The 20,828-nt window shown below is 38.8% G+C and overlaps 1 protein-coding gene across 1 annotated transcript in view, besides 2 other annotated features; it reads right to left on the reverse strand.

The window, feature by feature from the left end:
* Positions 1-20,828, reverse strand: part of SFMBT1 (Scm like with four mbt domains 1) — a 142,502-nt gene that overhangs the window by 17,763 nt on the left and 103,911 nt on the right. The window contains exons 5-11 of the mRNA NM_016329.4: positions 13,479-13,567; positions 10,728-10,974; positions 9,607-9,701; positions 8,995-9,096; positions 6,857-7,007; positions 4,697-4,779; positions 371-497 (exon numbers count right to left, since the gene is read on the reverse strand). Of these exons, the coding sequence (NP_057413.2) occupies positions 371-497; positions 4,697-4,779; positions 6,857-7,007; positions 8,995-9,096; positions 9,607-9,701; positions 10,728-10,974; positions 13,479-13,567 (894 nt within the window). The remainder of the gene's footprint in view (positions 1-370; positions 498-4,696; positions 4,780-6,856; positions 7,008-8,994; positions 9,097-9,606; positions 9,702-10,727; positions 10,975-13,478; positions 13,568-20,828) is intronic.
* Positions 12,125-12,294: an enhancer, noted in NCBI's record as "experimental_70661 CRE fragment used in MPRA reporter constructs". NCBI's record gives its function as "activates a minimal promoter by MPRAs in K562 erythroleukemia cells, with activity observed for the introgressed 3:52967560 variant allele {active_cell/tissue: K562}" and the evidence as "EXISTENCE:reporter gene assay evidence [ECO:0000049][PMID:34662402]".
* Positions 13,399-13,693: a silencer, noted in NCBI's record as "tiled region #7399; K562 Repressive DNase unmatched - State 12:CtcfO". NCBI's record gives its function as "represses a minimal TATA promoter and a strong SV40 promoter by Sharpr-MPRA in K562 cells {active_cell/tissue: K562}" and the evidence as "EXISTENCE:reporter gene assay evidence [ECO:0000049][PMID:27701403]".

Raw genomic sequence — 20,828 nt, forward strand, 5'->3', positions numbered from 1 at the left:
TATATACTTTTTGGTTCTATTGGGCTGCAGCAACCAAAATATTATCTCTTCAATAAGCTAGGTGTTAATGTCCATGCTCATATAACTTGGTCACATCAAAATATATGCTATTTGACTTATGTTTTCCCCTTCCAGAAAATAGGGGACTCTGTAGTAAAGAATTTTTATTCATATTCATTTCCTAAAATTTGGAATTTGAAAGCCAAGGACAGGAAAATAAATATTTCGCTTAGAGTCTTGCATTACAAAAGTCTCTGAACAAGATCCCTATTTAACTAATCCATTAAGTTTAACAGGCAACATTACAGGAGTAAACAGGAAGCTCAAAGGAGAGTGGCCACAGGAAGGCTTCTAGAGTGCTGGCACTCACCCTCCAGCTGGAGCCACAGGTAGGAGCCTCTCACTGCAGTGATGGTAGCAACACACACTTCTTCAGGGAGAATGGGGTTCACCGCCTCGAGCTTCATGTTCTCCTTAAATTCATGTTCAGAAATTAACTAGAAAATGAATGAATCAAATCAATTTACTGGATTAACACAGTATTAACTCACGTGCTCAGCTAGAAAACCTTTTTCAAGTAGTACTTAATCCCTAGGTTTAAAGATAACATTTATTTTGCATTGTTTTGCTTTTTAATGAAGCAAAAGGAAAATGTCTGCCTTTCCTGGTGTTATAGGAAGTATACAGGAAGTACACTCTTTGATGTCAGATATTCCTGCATTATTGCTACTTGTATGACCTTGCTCAAGCTGTATAACCTCTTTTTGCCTCAGTTTCTTCACCTGTCAGATGAGGTTGAGAACTCCCATCTGGCTGTGCTATTACAAGGTATCAATGAAATAGTCTCTAAGGTTCTGTGTCCTGAACCAAGTGGCTATCAACACTGTTGACTCACTTCCCCTCATATAAAGCACCCTATCATACCACAAACTGCCTGGTTCATACTTGCATGTGTATCATAAGAGGCAGTTAGGATGAAGAATGTTTATCAACAGTGGGAAAGGGTCATTTAAAACAGAAAAATATCCAGCATCCGTGTCAAAATGGACAACTGAACATCTGCGTTTGAGTGTTCTCTCTTCTGACATCTAACTTAAAAACTAAAGTTGTTTTTGGTTTGCTTCTATTTTGAAGACAAAAACTTAACATCTATCTTAAGATGGATATAACAGGAAAGGAAACAACATTTTATAAGCTAAAATTTAGAACAGGGTCTGGAAACTAAGTTAAAGGTGACTCTAAGCTGGCAGTAAAGAAAGCTAAGAACTGGAAGAACTGCCAGGTACTAGGCAACTGGAGGTAGAGGAGACAGTCAAAACAAGGAGGATTTGTTGAAAACATTTAAGAAACATTTAGGTTATGCCATTGGCTCCTCGACTCCATGCATTAGGGAAACCATTCCTTCCTCTCCCCTACAGAAGGTGAGATTTATCCTCTGGACAGGGTAAAAGAGAAGATGCCTAGGTAAGAGGACACAAGGAACTGCTGAGGGCATGTATGTCGTGACCAAAACAGCGGTTAGCCTATGGACTGCTGAGAGGCCCAGCCCTCCGCCTCTACCCACCAGGCAGGGGACTAGAAGATACTTCTTATGGTGATATGATAAGCCCAGGAAGAAACACATAATGATATGGATTCAGGTTTCCCCAACAAATGGCCAATCAGATTCCACCCTATAGGAAAGTTCAAGGTTGACAAGCTCCATCTACCTGCTCAGAGCTTTCAATCAGCTCTTCCTTTCAGTCACCCATTCTTAAATATAGCAACAACCAAGAATTACCAGACACCTAAGAAGATGAAAGTTAGGACCAAAACAGACAAGCAACTTGGAAAAAGCAGTGATTATGCAAGAAGAAAACTTCCCAAAAGGTGTGTGTGTGGGGGGTGGATTAATTAACAGCCTCTGAGAGATAAGAAAAACTATTGCATCCTTAGAGCAAGAATAGTATGATATTAAAAACAAAGAAGTACCTGTAATCCCAGCACTTTGGGAGGCTGAGGCGGGTGGATCGCCTGAGGTCAGGAATTCAACAGAAGCCTGGCCAACATAGTGAAACCCTGTCCCTACTAAAAATACAAAAAATTAGCTGGGTGTGGTGGCGGGCCCTATAATCCCAGCTGCTAAGGAGGCTGGAGAATCTCTTGAACCCGGGAGGTGGAGGTTGCAGTGAGCCAGGATCGTGCCATTGCACTCCAGCCTGGGCAACAAGAGCAAAGCTCCATCAAAAAAAAAAAAAGAAAGAAAGAACAAACGAACGAACTATTCAGAGTTCCAGAAAATAAAAAACATGATGTCAAAAATTAAAAACTCAAAAGGAAGGCCGAAAGACAAAGTTTAGGAAATCTTCCAGAAAATAAAGCAAAACGACTAAGAAACATAAAACAGGATAAAAAGATTTAAAAAGCAGAGGTTTGATCCAGAGGGCCACAACCAAATAAAAGAACTTCCAGAAAGAGAAAAGAGACAAAACGGAAGGAAGGAAATCAAAGAAGTGATTTAAAAAAAATTTCCCAACACAGAAAGGCATGAAGGTCCAGAAAGAAAGTGCCCACTGAGAACCTAGCACAGCGGATGAAAACAGGCTCGCATCAAGGTTCATCACTGTGAAAAGTGGTTCTATACCTTCCAGAAAGGGTCGGGGGAAAAGCAGGTCATCTACAAAAGAACAAAAATAAAAATAGCTTTATAGCTTTTAACTTCTTGATAGTAACACTAGAAGTTAGAAAACAACTGAGCAATGTTTTCCGAATTCTCAAGCAAAATAACTTCCACATTGAGCCAAACTATGAAGCAAGTCAGTAGAGTGAAGACATTTTCAAATATACAGTGTCAAAAAAAATTTACTTCCCTTGTACCCTGTTACAGGAAGGTACTGAGAGATGGGGATCCATCAAAACAAGGAAGCAAACCAAGAAAGAGGAGGCCATGAGATCTCTACAAAACAAGGGACCCCAAATCATACAAAAGGGGAGTGGGCAATTCCCTGGGTGACAAGGGCATTTCCATGATTAAAACTACATGGCAAGGCCGGCACAGTGGCTCACACTTGTAATCCCAGCACTACGGGAGGCTGAGGCGGGAAGATCATCTGAGGTCAGGAGTTTGAGACCAGCCTGGCCAACATGGTGAAACCCAGTCTCTGCTAAAAATACAAAAATTAGCCAGGCATGGTGGCGGGCGCCTATAATTCCAGCTACTCAGGAGGGTGAGGCAGGACAATCTATTGAACCCGGGAGGCGGAGGTTGCAGTGAGCTGAGATCGTACCACTACACTCCAGCCTGGGCGACAAGAGCAAGATTCTGTCTAAGAAGAACAAAAAACAAACAACAACAACAACAACAACAACAAAACCCACAAAAACTACATGGCAAACCTTTAAAGAGCAACCCATCCAGACAGAGAGTGGAGGTTGCTAAGAGGGATGTCTCTTTAACAAAAGTGTTAGGAATGACAGATTTCTTGATGTGACTGCTTTTGATAATGAGAGACTACTGGGAAGTGTGGACAGCAGCAGCAATAGATAAAATTAAGTAAATTAAAAACAAGGCAATTATTATTGAGGATAAAAATTTTTAAAAAGAAACAATCATAAAATACTGCAGTGCCAGGTGCAGTGGCTCATACCTGTAATCCCAGCACTTTGGGAGGCTGAGGTGGGCAGATCACTTGAGGTCAGGAGTTCGAGACCAGCCTGGCCAACATGGTGAAACCTCATCTCTACTATAAAAATGAAAATTAGGCGAGTGTGCTGGTGGGCGCCTGTAATCCCAGCTACTTGGGAGGCCGAGGCAGGAGAATCTCTTGAACCCGGGAGGCGGAGGCTATAGTGAGCTGAGATCGTGCCACTGCACTCCAGCCTGGGTGACAGAGCAAGACTCTGTCTCAAAACAAAACAAAACAAAACTGCAGTGCTCAGCTGTAATATCTGAATGCATATCATAATGTAAAAACTCATTTTGTATTTAACCAAAAATTGTAATATAACTCTAAAGGAAGAAGAATGTGGTAAGACAGAGAGGAAAGGTAATAAAAAATAATTAAATGCTCATTTATCATAATTTAGAACCAACAGACTCAGCACCATAAGACAGGGTGAATTTAATTTGTTTTAATAAAGTCAAAGTTTTTAAATTAGAACCAAGTGACATGTCTAAAATAAATGACTCAAAAGATAGAAGGTTTTTATTTTGAAAATGAAGAAATACAAATAACTAGAATTACAGTGAGAAGAACAGGAAGTAGTTATTTCTGGGAAGGGAGACTGTGAAACGGGGTAGGGCAGGGACTGCTATTTTACCTTCTAAGCCTTTTACTGCTACATGGCTCTTTAAACCACATGCATGTATTATTTGGATAGAAGAATTTAAATAAGCTTAACAATTTTTCTCCACTTAATATTTCAACAGTTTTTCCTATTATTGAACCATGAAAAATAATCATAAAATTTCAAATTCACGATTTCAGCTAAGAAAAAATAAAACCAATAAACTTATAAAACTAACTTAATTAGCAAACTAACTGATTCACTTCTGCAGTAAATGTATTTTCCTTTAGACCATGTGATTACAATCACCACTGTGCTCATCTGGATTAAGTGAGATGATTATCTTCAGAGCAATAACATGGAAAGCAAGGGAAGCACAGCAGTCCCTGCAGCCCTGCCATAGTGGCCATGAGGCCGTGGGGGTCCTCACCGGAGGGAAGCACCTCTGGGGAGCAGCTTCAGCACCACACTGTTTGAGGTAGTCAGCCCAGTCAAAGTCCTGGCTTGGGTAGCCTAGGTGGGGACAAATGAACAATGAGTCACACTACCACACCACATACGCCTGCCTGGCTTCACCCCTCACCAAGGGTCCACTCACAACTTCCAGTGATGCTAGTCTGACAACTTTGATCATTTTAGAGGGGCGAAAAGCATTCTATAAATCTAGAGCACTGTTAATTTTATAAAATAGAGCAACTCTGGTCAAACTGTAATAAGACAATCAGACTCTGGATAAATTTGTAAACTTTCAAATTTCAAACTAGGCATTTATTTTGAGCACTATTTTATATGATTAGTTGCTGGCAATTTACCAAAAGAATTTAAGACAGTTATGACTGGATTTGATTTGTATATATAAATCCACTCTTATTGTCAATTCTAAAGGGACTCGGGCTCTCAAGGAAAAGAGACAGCAAATAGTATTAGTTAATCTGCAAAGACGAAGACTTTTTTTCTTTGTTAAAGCTGTTTCCTGAAATGTGTCTCAGATATCACTGATACAAATCCTCTTGTCATTTTCAGATTCATATATTACAGAATATCAATGCTTTTATAATCTAAATCATGTATTTATTTCAGAAAAATCAAGCTTAGCACCCCACTTAAGTCTACTGAGGTTCTTGATGGAAGCATCTCCAAGCTGCTGCTGACTCAGCACCATCTACATGCAAAGAGCTGAGCGAGGCCCAACTGCCTACTGTGTCTGAGTTGCTCTCAGCCTCCAGAGAGCTTAATGTCTCACAGGCAAAAAAATAGGCTACTCAAGTCTATGCCCTCTGACAGCCCAACAGTCCCTGCCTACCGAAGACTGGCACCATGTTCTCCCTTTGCCCCAACCTCAATGCCTGACAGTACATTTTCTGCCATTTTCAGTTATGTAATCTACTACCTTCCCTCTATTTACAAAGACACAGTTGATTTGTCTATAACAACACTGAAAGCTTCAGTATTTTTAACAACTGTTCCTTCTTTTTCACATAGAGGTGGCAAGCAGAATAAAGAACTTGGGATATCTAGAGCGTGCCTGCAAAGCAAGAACTTCCTTCTATGGCTGTTCTACACCACACCCTCCAACCAGGCATTCATCTGCTGTGTTCACTGATGGAGGAGACTCTAGGAAGTTCTGTTAATATTTCCCCCTATTTGCCCCTTGAAGGGACCGAGTTGTACTCATTGAGCTTGTCACTCTCCCCAGGGATAAGCTCAATGCCTGGCTTACAGCAAACTTCACATGAATGTTTGTTGAATGAATAAAAGCTGAATGGAAGACAAAGGTTCTGAGTTTATGACCCTTGTTAACAAGAAAGAGTACTTCCAGCCCAGTGTTCCAGCAGTCACCATTTAGAAAAGTGATGCTATGCTTTACTGAAAACCTACTAATAACATATATAGACTGCCAATCAAATAATCTGATTTGCTAATATTAAAAAATCAGATAAACATCTGACATATTCTAGATTCTCTAAGTTTAAAAATATTAAAAATTTCAGTCAAGCTCAACTAACCCATTAATTAAGGGCCTTGATTAAAGGATCAAAGACTATATTTTGCAAAGTTGCAAATATCAGGAAAATGAGCTTTTATTTTCCTACCTACTCCCTGAGTTCTACTCTTCACCATAAACTTCTCTGTAGAAAGTCCCCTCCATGACAAGGCTCAGACACCTAAAGATAATCAGTAATCTACCTTCTAACTCTGGCTCTACGGCCTCTTCTCACAAGCCAGCCCCCAGTGCTTGCTGTGCATCCAAGCTCACCCCTCTGCCACCCCTAACAGACATAAAAGGGACTAAGGAGCCAGCACGAACCCAGGTTGGAACCTGGTTTTCCAGGGGGTTATGAGGACATAGATATCAAAGTCAGAGGATAGAACGCACTCTCTTTAACAGTTTTTTAGCTCAGTTTGTAACTTTCAAATATGTAAATACATGGAATCTAGACCTTTCCTTATACTTTTCTCAGACCCCAAAAACGTTAGGAACAGGCTAGGGCAGGAGGAGAGGGACAAAAGATTTCAGCAATGCCATCTGACATGTCTCATTTCAAGGAGAAGCTCTCAAGTGACAATTCAGAAGACAGCGAATGTGCACCTGGAGGGGGGCTGATGTGTAGGCCATTCTTCAGACTCCACTGCACAGGGAAGATGCCAGGACTGTCGGCGTGGCACACAAAGGATCGCCGTGCGTGGTTCTCAGGACGCAAGTCATCCATTTCCACCAGAAAGTACTTCTCATCAAAAACCTATACATGCAATTAATAGATGAAATAGACAAATGCACACATATATATGTGCTTTCTCCTTGGCACAGCCAAACATATTACAAAAGTTCATACTCATGTGGGTATTAATAATACTAAACACTAAATGTTAGCTCTGTGTTATGTAATACATATAATTACTGTTTTAATTAAATGCTTTTCATGTATCAATTCAGTTTTAATCTTAACAACTGAATGAGGTAAGTACATATACATATATATACATATATACATATATATACATATATACATATATATACATATATACATATATATACATATATATATATATATACACATATATACATATATACACACACACACATATATATATAGTTTGTTTGTTTTTTTTTGGAGACAGGGTCTTGCTCTCTTACCCAGGCTGGAGTGCAGTGGCATGAATTTGGCTCACCGAAGCACTGCAGTCTTGACTTCCTGGGCTCAGTTGATCCTCCCACTTCAGTCCCTTGAGTAGCTGGGACAACAGGCATGCACCACCATGCCCAGCTAATTTTTTTTAATTTTTGTAGAGACTCGGTCTCCATATATTGCCCAGGCTTGTCTCAAACTCCTGGGCTCAAGCAATCCTCCTGCCTCAGCCTCCCAAAGTGCTGGGATTACATGCATGAGCCACCACACCTGGCCCAAGTACCTTTATCAACTCCATTTCACAGATAAGGAGAATGAGTTCAAACAGAGGTTAAATAACTTGCCCTGGGTTACAAAACAAAGAAGAAGCAAAACCTGGATCCAAAGCCATGTAGTTTGGCTCCAAACAAAATTTATTCTAAGCTTAGTGACAAACTTAGTTTAAGCTTATGCTACTATGTATTAGTTTTTCAAATCCTAGCCCAGTTTCAAATGCCAAAGAACGAACTTTATTTATTTATTTATTTAGAGACGGAGTTTCGCTCTTGTTGCCCAGGCTGGAGTGCAATGGCACAATCTTGGCTCACCGTAACCTCCGCCTCCCGGGTTCAAGCGATTCTCTCACCTCAGCCTCCCGAGCAGCTGGGATTACAGGCATGCACCACCATGTCCAGCTAATTTTGTATTTTTAGTAGAGATGGGGTTTCTCCATGTTGGTCAGGCTGGTCTTGAACTCCTGACCTCAGGTGATCTGCCTGCCCCGGCGTCCCAAAGTGCTGGGATGACAGGCGTGAGCCACCACACCCGGCCAAAGAGATAACTTTATGAACTTCCTCTGGCTTCCCACTAGCCCTCCCTTCAGACTCTAGGTAGGGCCTTCTGGCCCCACCTGCAGGCTCAGAATCCCTCCTTGCTTTGAGAATAATCTTCTTCCAAGACAGGGAAAACTTAAATCTCAATAGGTCAGAGGATTTAGCACCCAGGCAACTATTCCTCTAGTCACATTCAACTTTGGCTTCTATTTTCAGTAAATGTCCTTCTGCTCTAGTTGGAAACTGAAATTCTCTCGCCAATGCCTCAGTTGTAGTGACTGAGCAGGGCCTTGATAACCTTACTTCTTAGTTTTGTCAGTATTCCAAAAGATTAAATCTGAATCTGGAATACATAGCTGGAGCCAGTCCACTGCCAGAACTTTTAACACTAACTGCCTGATCCCCATTCATCTCCTCATTCCAATGAGCTCTGCATCTGGTTAGACGTTGATGAGACTGCCTGCCTCCAACTTTACAGATACCCTGGCCTCCTAAAGGAGTTAAATCTCCTTTACTTATATGCAGCTAGGCCTGCCCCAAAGAATGCGTCCCCTACTAGTCCAGTGCCCAGGCCCAAGGCTGCTTTGGCTAGGGCTACCAAGCTCTGAAGGAGGAATGGGCCACAGCAAACTGGACAAATACAAAACGTGCACAGAAGTAATTCTAGCTGCACGGCCTAGAAGGAAAAATGGGTTGGATCAATAGAGCTTAAAGATCAAAACACTACCCATTTCCTAAACCAGTCACCTTGACAGGGATTCTTACCAAGAGAGTTATCTCCATTTTACCTTAACAACTGTAGCAGGAGAGATCCCAAAAGGAGACCAGGGGTCTACAGCTTCCAATTTCATGTTTACAGAGAATGTATGAATGCCAATAACTTGTTTGTCCTGAAATGCAGACACCAAAAGGGGATGAAAACATAGTATCTGTATCAATCTTACACTCACATGTAGCTGTGATTAACAGAAATGTCCAGCTCTGGTAAATCCTATAGTTTTCTTCTTTTTTTTAAATGTGCAAAACTATCCAATATAATTTTCTACTCTGGAAAAAACTATCCAGGAAAAAACAAAACACACAGAAGTGCTTCTACTCTCTACATTCAAAGACAAGGAATATCTGGAGAAAAAAACAAATTTATTTTATCAGTTAAGACTATGTAGTTAAGGGTAAAAAAGAAAAGGTTCAAACTACTTTAGGAGAACTTGGGGAGAAAATCTAGACAACTGTTAGAAGAAAACAAGGATGATCATCAGTCCAGCCTTAACACACCCTCCTCCTTCAGAGACCATGGCATTCTTACCGACTGCAGGGGCTGCTTTACACTTTCACCTCCTGCGTTGCTTTACTCTACTGTAAGGGGAGCAATACCGGTCTATCACATGTTTTGTTTTTACCTTAAATAAGTAAGATGGTAATGGCTCTTCCTCTTCCTCTTTCACTTTGGCCAAAATCTCTTGCCACTCAGCTTCATTTTTTAGATGTCTAATGGCTTTAATAAAACATGACAACATGCTTTAGATGATGAGAAACTTATACTTTTTACCTGTCCTGAAAGCATTCACATAAACAAAAACAAGTCACTTTCCACTGGAACTAGAAAAGGGTTCAAGCCCACTTATATCCCTTTACATTCAAAGAACTTGCACCTTAACTTCAGTACTTTGCTCTATGCAGAGCCTGGACAGCTTGGCTCTATGAAAATACCTACAGTAAGATCATAATGATTGTTGTAATCCATAAAATTGTAATATAACATCCAAATTGGGGCACATAATAATAAATGCAAATTGATTTAAACAGTAACTCTAGAAATACCAATATTATTGGTATTTCTTTTAATCAACAATTTGCTGTGACCCAATTTTCTATGTACCTAGCTAAATGCTCCCTAGATAATTTTTTATTTTATCTTGGTCAAGGGTCAGTATGGGTTGGCACAGTAGTCTATGAGGTATATCAATATGTGTGGTAAATTATAAAAGCAATAAAAAGAAAAGAAAAGTAGGCACTTGGCCAGGTACGGTGTCTCACGCCTGTAATCCCAGCATTACGGGAGGCTGAGGTGGGCGGATCACTTGAGGTCAAGAGCTCGAGACCAGACTGGCCAACATGGTGAAACCCCATCTCTACTACAAATACAAAAATTAGCCGGGTGTGGTGGCATGTGCCTGTAATCCTAGCTACTGGGGAGGCTGAGGCACAAGAATCGCTTGAACCCGGGAGGCGGAGGTTGCAGTGAGCTGAGATCATGACACTGCACTCCAGCCTGGGTAACAGAGCAAGACTCTGTCTCAAAAAACAAAACAAAACAAAACAAAAACCAAAAGCAGAACAACAACAAAAAAGAAAAATAGGCACTTAATTTAACAACTCCATATAAACTGTTTTGTAATAGCTCTATTATGAGAACTAACAAAGGTTTTCATAATATGCAGAATATATTTTTTCAGCCTCATAGATATTAATAACATAGCATGTTAATGTCACAGAAGAAAAATGTCCTATTACTCTTCACCTGAAGGGGGCTGAAGCTCATATCCCTGTTGAGCAGCCCAACCAACGTGATGAAGAAATGGATCCAAGTAATACAACCAATGTTCATAATTGTCAGAACTTTCAAGTCCTTCATAACGTAGCTTCAGCCTTCCTCCAATGTTTTCTACTACAGTAACAATCCAAGTGCTTAAAGAGTCCTGGAAAGCTTGACATTCTAGTCTGGATCCTGGAGCAATGAGATCTAAAGGATTCCTCCCATTACGGAGCTGTAGGATTAAAAAGTAAAACAACCCAGTAAGAGAAATTAACATAATATTTTTGAAAAGCCAACTTATAAATGATCTCAAACCAGCCTTTGTATTTTTTACCCATTCAAAAGCCAGTGACACTAAATTGTCTATCATCATACAAGCCTCTTACAGTATTATTTCTAGGAGATATGAAAATGTTTATCTTAAAGAAAATCTACCTATAATGCAGTAAAATTACTCTAACACATCTCTATCTCTAGGACTATGTTATGTAGTTTCATTTAGTAAGAATTTTTAAAATATCATCATTCCTCATCTATTATAAAACAAATATGGTCCAGGCATGGTGGCTCACACCTGTAATCCCAGTACTTTGGGAAGCTGAGGTGGGCAGATCACTTGAGGTCAGGAGTTCGAGACCAGTGTGGCCAACATGGTGAAACCCCGTCTCTACTAAAAATACAAAAATTAGTCGGGCATGGTGGTAGGCACCTGTAGTCCCAGCTACTTGAGAGGCTGAGGCAGAAGAATCACTTGAACCCAGGAGGCAGAGGTTATGGTGAGCCAAGATCATGCCACTGCACTCTAGCCTAGGCAACAGAGCAAGATTCTGTCTTTATAAAAAATTTAAAAATTTAAAAAAAGCAAATATCAAAATACCATCATCATCATTAAAGAGAAAAAATCAAACAAAAGTCAAAGTCAAAGTCACCTGTAATCCCACCTCAAAGAAAGAACCACAAGAAACACTTTGGCATACACTCTTTTTCTCCATACAAGTCAATATCCACCTCTGCCAGTCTGTCTGTTCCTATTTTTTGAAAAATGGAAACACTGTATACTGTTTCTTAATTTGTTCTTCATTTAGTACATCATAGGTATCTTTCTATAATAGCACATATAACTCTTCCTCATGTTTTATAGTATTTTATGATATTTTACATTGTAAATGGGCAATAATTTATCCAGTTACCTACAGATAGTATTTCAGTTGTTTCTGGTTTTTTATTGATGTCACAACAATGTTCAAATGAACAGAGTAAAAGCTTTTGATTACAGTGATGGAAAGGAAAAGTTTAACTCTCACTATCTAGAAGTATATTAAAAACTACAATAAAGAAAAGAAATTCATTATCAAGTTATCACTTAATCATTTCTAATACACAACCTTACATTTTTTTCCTAGTAAAAACTGCTCTGTGACACTTACATATCCAGATATGCAAAGGGACATATGAAAAAGTGGAGGAAAAGATTTAGAGCTAAAAGTCAGCATGGCAGAGTCATGGTCAAAAAAGAGTAGAATAGTTTATCAATTCATCCATTCATTAAAATGTTACTGAGTTTTTAGTATGTATAAGGCCCTGGCTAAGCATAAATAAATGAGTCAGAGTATAAAAAATAAAAACCAGTTTGAAATAGAGTATTCACCAATCAAAATTTAAAAGGGAATGTGAATGGATGACAGAAGTAAATGTAACCATAAAACTCTTAGAAAATACAGGAGTAAATCTTCTTGACCTTGGGTTAAGCAAAGCCTTCTTAGATATGATACCAAAAGCACAAGCAACAAAAGAAAAAAAGATAATCTGGATTATATCAAAATAAAAAATGTTTACGCTGCAAACAATAAAAAGACAAACCATAGAATGGGAAAACATATTTTCAATATTTTGAAATGCATGTATATTTTGAATGCATAATACATTCAACTCAATAATAAAAAGACAACCCAATTTAAAAATGGGCAAAGAAATGTCTCCAAAAAGGATACAGAAATGGCCCATAAGCACAAAAAAACATACTCAACATCAACAGTCATTACAGAAATGTAAATCAAAATGAGATGCCACTTCATACCCACTTAGTCAGCTATAATAAAAAAGATAACAAGTGTTGGCAAGGAAGTAGAGGGATGGGAACCTTCATACATTGCATTTCACATATGCCACAAATAATTTTACCAGTATGACAGAAAGTGACAAGATATAACTTAGAAATGTCATAACCAATAAATCCATTTCACAAAATCAAGAGATCTATATTCACTAACAAGCTTAAAGGCCACACTAATTTAAAAGGACTGCTGAAAAGCAGGTGGAAGGCAGAAGTGCAATAGATCCAATGTGTTCCAAGCAAAAAAAAAAAAAAAAAAGGGTGGGTTGGGGGGACTCCAAGTCACCTGGTGTGGGAGTTACAAATGTCCACCCTCAAGCAGAATCGACCTCTGCTCAGTTTCAGAGTGAAAGCCCTCAGAAGGTCCTATTTTCCAACTGTATAAAAGAATCTGGGAAATTAGATTTTTTATGTGTTAGCAACTAATTCAGAAAATATTTAGGCACTAAGCAAGCCACCAGTTTGCAACCTCTGAGGGTAAGTTTAAACTTCCCAATACCTATGCCTATGTCTCTAATAATAACGTTTATTTTCTTCAGAGTGGTAAATAAGCAACCGATTTTAAGATTCTTTGAAAGATCAGATGGGTTTTCCATGCTGATGTGGCATGTAGTAATACTCACGCCCTCTAGCAGCGGAACAGGAGGACTACATGCTCCTATCAGGGTCTGCCGCAGAAACTCATCCCAGTCAGATACTTTATCTCTGATGCCTAGATGAGGGAATAAATGACTGATTACTCAAAATGCCAGCCACAGAATGCAGAGAAACCGAAATCAGTGGAGATGGTTTAAAGGTATTTCACATTTTAAGATCTAAGAGTCCAACATACTGCTTGAGAGCTTGAAAAGATAAAACAAAATAAAACCAAAAATGCTTCTCTAGATGGAGCTACTTTCTGGTTAGTTTATTAAGAGTTGTATACAAAACAAAGAGAATAGTCCCAACTACCTATTCCTATAATTTTACCCAGAAGGTACCTTACTTTATTTTTTATGATGGAAACTTTCAAACATACAAAAAGAAAAATGATCTAATGAATCCTAAGTGCCCTGGCGTCAACAACTGTCACCTCATGGCCAATCTGTTTCATCTAAACCAGGATTTACAAGCTACAACTCGAGGGCTTAATCCAGCCTGCTGTCTGTTTTTGTTAATAAAGTTTTACTGGAACATGGCCATACCCATTTGTTTACATATTGTCTGTGGCTGCTTTCACACTACAAAGGTAGGGTTTTAGCAGCTTTGACAGAGATTGTATGACTAGTAAAGCCTAAAATATTTACTATCTTGCCCTTTACAGATAATTTGCCAATGCCTGGCTTATACCCTCACACTCCACCCATGCCCAACCAAGGATCAGTTAGAAGACAATTCCAGATAGCATATAATTTCATCCATATATATATTTTAGTACATATTTCTAAAAGAAAATATTTTCTTACAAAACCACAATAACAACATCATACCTTTAAAAAATTAACAATAATTCCTTAATATCAAATATCCAGTCTATGTTCAAACTTCCCCAATTGTCTCATAAACAGTTTTGTCAATTTGTTTGATTACATCAGGACCCAAGTGAGACGCACGCATTGCAAATGTCTCCTTGATTTCTTTTCATCAGTAGGTTTCTTCTCCTTCCTCCCCTCCCGTGTCCCTACTCTCTCTTTTTTTACTCCACATTTATTGAGACCTGGCCTTTGTTCTCTATGGAGTTTTTTAGAGTCTGATTTCATTGGTTACGTCCCTGTGGTGACCAGTTGTTCTACTGTTCCCTGTATTTGCCATAAATCAGTATTTAGAGCTAGAAGCTTGATCAAATTCAGGTTAGACTTTGCGGGGTGGTGAGGGTGAAAGAATACTTCACAAGTGGAATAAGTTATACCCTTCCCTCAAGAGCATGAAGAGGCACATATGGTCTGGCTGTCTCTCCCTTTGTGACATTAGCAGCTTTTAACGGTTACTACATAGATGCACTGATTCATTACGGGCTCAATGGTGATATTCTAATTGTATTATTCCTTCTTCATTTACTAACCAAAGAACTTCCATAAAGAAAAATTTCTCTACATCAACTATTTGATTATGCTGAGGTAGATTTCATAGAAAGAAGGCTTTCTTTGAACATATACTTGATTGTCTTTACTCTTTCTCTATATTTACCACCCTTTAAAATAAACAGTTGATTGGCAGGCATCTTCCAAGAGTGGCTAATGAGGGTTTTGTTTCAAAATTTCACTATGAAGTCATACATTAAAACAAATACATTTCAAGCCATTACAGCTGTTGTCCTTACGACACTCTATCTTCAACCAGAGGCAGTCTCTTCAGGTTGGCTCCTGAGACCTTTTGGCATGACACTAGTAAAGAGCCACTGATAACTTTTTTGCTTTTTGGTATGACAAGATGTTCCAGGATCATCTAGGAAATTGCCTGACCTAGTGCAGGACTCAGCTACTTCTGCAAGAAGCCCCAGTTTATTTCCATGGAAATGGTATTTAGAGACCTGGGCATGCTCATTGTCACTGGGTTAGTGTTTCTCGGCCTTTTCAGTGTCTAGAGTTAATGCATTTCTTCTTCTTCTTACATCACAATACTTCCAATACAAATTCAGAAAGATAGTGCTTTCATTTAACTCATCCATCTAAGCTCTATTTCCTTTCTATAACGCTGAAAATCCTAGTTCTCAATTACACATTTCTTTTTTTTTTTTTTTTTTGAGACAGAGTCTTGCTCTGTCCCAGGTTCACGCCATTCTCCTGCCTCAGCCTCCTGAGTAGCTGGGACTACAGGCGCCCGCCACCATGCTTGGCTAATTGTTTGTATTTTTAGCAGAGACGGGGTTTCACCATGTTAGCCAGGATGGTCTCGATCTCCTGACCTTGTGATCCGCCTGCCTCAGCCTCCCAAAGTGCTGGGATTACAGGGGTGAGCCACCACGCCCGGCCACACATTTCATTCTTTATTTGCTTTTGCCTACCATATACAAACAACTATTTCAAAGTAACAACATTAAGTCTACCACCAACAGTAGGATTACTAAAAATAGGTTAAGATTTTTTCTTTGCATTTTTTTTTGTTATTGTTGTCCTTAGAATATATAACCCTAACTGGGGACATACTTTCATATTTTACTGTATTTTTAAGTCACTGAAATAGCTCCTCTTTGTGTGGTTATCCCATAAGCTCCATATACAGTTAGGTTTCCTTGATTTTTAGGAATTGCTTTCTAAACATTTAATTTTGCTTTCTAGTTGCATAAAATATTTACAAGGTTCAAAAGTCAAATCTACAAAATAAAATAAGGTACATTCATAAAATTTAGCTTCTATTCCTACCTCCTTCATTCTTTTCCCTTCTTTCCCCATAGGTAACTTTTTTCTAAATGATTCATTCTTTTTTTTTTTTGAGACGGAGTCTTGCTCTGTTGCCCAGGCTGGAGTGCAGTGGCACGATCTCAGCTCACGGCAACCTCCGCCTCCCGGGTCCAAGTGGTTCTTCTACCTCAGCCTCCTGAGTAGCTGGGATTACTGGCACACACCACTACGGTTGGCTAATTTTTGTATTTTTCGTAGAGATGGGGTTTCACCATGTTGGCCAGGATGGTCTTGATCTCCTAACCTCGTGATCCACCCGCCTCGGCCTCCCAAAGTGCTGGGATTACAGGAGTGAGCCACTGCGCCTGGCCAACGATTTACTCTTTTATTTTGAAAAAAATAAGTTCACACACACACATTTGTATCATCATATCCTTGAGCTCTCCTCCTCCTCAAGTCTGTACACATTTTTCTTTTTTTCATACAATAACATATCCTGAGCCCACTCCTTGGTTGTATGCAGACCCTCCTCCTTTTTATTGCTGTCTATAGCTGCTTTTCTTACAAAGTATCCTTTGTCAGCTATCAAGACTGACAGCTGGTTTCTTTTCTACTGGCAGTTGCCTGTACATCTTTGTCCTTTTATTTTTACTTTTTCGTAGTCTCTCTGCTTAGGTATGTCTCCTATACAGAGGACAAGAGTGGATTTTGCTTTATGAGGCAATCTGAATTTATTTGTTTACTTCTAATAAAAGAGTATGCCCAGTAACACTTATTGATATTATTAATATGCATGGCCTAAATTTCATATTGTTAAATGTTATATACTTCGTGTATATGTAGTTTTTTTTACTATGTGATCTATCCCGTTTACACATATAGTTTCTCTTTCTAAGTCTCTTTCGTCATATAGAAAGGTTCTTATTTTTGTTCTACGGATTACCTTTATATAACACTTTTAGTCCTCTCTATTTTTGGACTACTTTCTATTTTGTTGTTGTTGTTTCTATAAACAATACTGAAGTTAGCTATAAGCCCTTCGTTTTCTCTCCTTCAGCATCTCATTTCAGGTACTATCCTTTTACTCCCAGTTAACATTTAAATAGTTATATTACATGGCAATAAAGCTGTTTTTTTTTTTAAGACAATTAGTGGGCTTATACAACTATTCACGTTTTCCCCATTCTTGTCCCATATTTTTTATAGTAATAATGTAACTACATTTTCAGAGCATACAGCTATTATATACCACAGTGTCTCCCTTACAACCATCATTTAGTTTAAGTTCTATAGCTATACATATATTTAATGTTTCACTACCATTTCCCATGCTAATGTTACCTCATTAATTTGCTCAGCTGAAGCTCATTCCCTAGTGGACGCCTTAGGAAGGGCTCATGGGAACAATATTACTTAGTTCTTACCTGTTCGTAACAGTTTGCATATAGCCTTTAGATCTGAAGTTCAGTTTGGCTAGATATAAAATCCCTGTCTCATATTTTCTCTTTCATTACATTTCTTAAGTACATTACATTCCATTGTCTTTTGACATAAACCATTGTTAATAACTCTGATGAAAATCTTGTTTTCTTTCCTCTATAAGAAACTTGGTCTTTCTCCTAAATAGCCGTGGTATTATTTTTTGCTTTAAAGTTCAATACTTTCATTAGAACAATTTTGATGTAGCTGCCCTCATTTGATTTTCCTACATACATAGTAATCCCTTTCAGTATGTATTACAAGGCCTCTTTTATTTCTGTAAGGTTTACCTGAATTATGGTCCAGCATGGTAGCCGGACTACACCTGCAATCCCAGCACTTTAGGAAGCTCAGGCGGGCAGATCACTAGAGGTCAGGAATTTGAGACCAGCCTGGCCAACATGGTGAAACCCCCTCTCAACTAAAAATATAAAAATTAGCTGGGCATGGTGGCATGTACCTGTAGTCCCAGCTACTCAGGAGGCTGAGGCAGAAGAACTGCTTGAACCTGGGAGGCAGAGGTTGTAGTGGGCCGAGATCGTGCCACTGTACTCCAGCCTGGGTGACAAAGAGTGACACTCTGTCTCAAAAAATAAATAAATAAATGTTTACCTAAATTATAGTTTATAGTATTTTATTGTTTCATTGCTTCAGTTTTCTTCTTCAAGGACTTCTACTGCAGGTATGTTAAATCATTTTTACCTAGCTGTATAAGGTGTTTCTCAAGTCCTTTTTATTTCTTTGTTTGGTTTTTATTTTAAAATTTCTTTCCTTTTTTTCATCTGTTTTTCTTCAGATAGTATCCATGGTGCTGACTCATTCCTGTGCTCATTTTAACTAAGTCTTCATTTTCAATATTCTTTTATTTCCAGTTCTTGCCTAAGTTTTACTTTTTCTCTTTTCAAATCTTCCCTTTTTTAATCCTTTCATTTCTGAATGTTTATAAATTTTATTTATAATTTTTTTCACTGTTTCTATTATTGTTGCTACTTTTTTGTTACCTTATTTTGAAATGTTTTTATCTGACACAATGTTCACCTCTTCTGTGGTTGTTTCTACTCTTTTTTCACTGTAATAATCTTGTATGAGATTCAACTGAAATCCTTTTCTGTTGTTCACATTTAAACGAGATGCATTTTCCTACATACGTTAGGATGAGATGGTAGGCCAGGTGGCTTCATGTCTCTAGAGCTCTCTCTTCTATTGTTACTCACAAAGTAAAAAACCTTCACAAAGGAGAAGCCCACAGACATCCCAGGACCCTAACACTCAGATCTTCGTTTCCAAATACCATTCTTCACTAAAAGAAAAGACTTCTTGGGGAAATGGCTGATTTCAGGGCTGAGACAGCAAAATGCTTCTTGAGCCAAAAAATAAGAAACTGCTTAAAGAAAAATAAGGACATATTAAAAGGATACAGTAGCCCGCTTGAAGGGGTAACCACTCACCCAATCTAGGACAGTTTCAGGATCAAAAGAAATATAAAGTAAAGGATTATAACCCATTAAATAAGATCAGAATCATGAGTCTACACTGATAAACATACCTACATATACACATACATACATAAATGGAGGAAAGGGGGAAGCTCTTTCTATAGTATAGTAGAAAGCCAATTAAGAAATGTAGAAGAAATTTTTTAAAACACCATTTGGTAATTATTGAAAAAATAATTGTTTCAGATAAAATTTATAAATGGATACTAAGAATAGTGGGTTAAAGTGTGAAGAGTAATGGGATATTTTCATAATCTCCAAGTATCTTCCAACAAGACACTAACTAAAAAGCAAAAAATAATACCTTTACGATGAAAAAACTTGGCATATACGAACCTAATCAAGTGATGGAAGTTAATTTTACCTGTAATAAGGCAAATCAATAGCATGTATCTTCTGATATCATGCACTGGAAGGGCACAGCTTTTGCATTTTTCCTACCAAAAGTGAACAACCTGAATGTAAGGAAGCATCAGACAAACCCAAATTGTGGGAAATCTGACAGAATGACTGGCCTGTACTCTTCAAAAATGTCAAGTTCAAAAAAGAAAAACAATGGTTAAGAAAACGAGAGAGACACGACAACTAAATGCAATGTGATTCTAGACAGGAATCTTGGACCAGGAAAAGAAATACAGCATAATGAACATTATTGGGACCAGGATAGAATGAACATTGGGAAAACTGGCCTGTAACTTTCAAAATATCAAAGTCATGAAAGACGAAAAACCCTGAGGAACTGTTCCAGATTATAGGAAACTTATGAGACATGACAACTGAATGTAACACATGATCTGGGATTTTTCTTTAATTAAAAAAGAGTTATTGGCCAGGCGCGGTGGCTCACGCCTGTAATCCCAGCACTTTGGGAGGCAGAAGCGGGCAGATCACCTGAGGTCAGGGGTTCAAGACCAGCCTGGCCAACATGGCAAAATCCCGTCTCTACTAAAATGCAAAAAATTAGCTGGGTGTGGTGGCGGGTGCCTGTAATCCCAGCTACTTGGGAGGCTGAGGGAGGAGAACTGCTTGAACCCAGGAGGTGGAGGCTGCAGTGAGCTGAGATTGCGCCATTGCACTCCAGCCTGGGCAACAGAGTGAGACTCTGTTTCAAAAAAAAAAAAAAAAAAAAAAAAGTTATTGGGCCAGGTGTGGTGGTTCATGCCTGTAATCCCAACACTTTGAAAGGAGGAACGCTTAAGACCAGCAGTTTGAGACTGGCCTGGGCAACACAGCGAAACTCTGTCTCTACAAAAAAGTTTAAAAATTAGTTGGGTATGGTGACACACACCTGTAGACCCAGCTACTTGGCAGGGGTGAGGTGGGAGAATCACTTGAACCTGGGAGTTCAAGGACACAGTGAGCTAGGATCACGCCACTGCACTCCAGCCTGGCTGACAGAGCGAGATTCTGTCTCAAAAAAATAAAATAGAACGAAATTATCTTAAATGTTATTGGAATAGCTGGTAAAAACTGAATAAGGCCCAGGCATGATGCATGATGGCTCATGCCTGTGGTACTAGCTATTAGGGAGGCTGAGGCAGGATAATCACTTGAGCCCAGGAGTTGGAGACCAGTCTGGGTGATATAGCAAGACCCTGCCTCAAGAAAATAGAAATGAAAATAAAAACAAAAATACTAGAAAGTGATATAAATATAAAAATAAGACCATGTTTATTAA

This window comes from Homo sapiens, chromosome 3, assembly GCF_000001405.40.
Source record: "Homo sapiens chromosome 3, GRCh38.p14 Primary Assembly".
In the NCBI taxonomy this organism is placed as follows: Eukaryota; Metazoa; Chordata; class Mammalia; order Primates; family Hominidae; genus Homo; species Homo sapiens.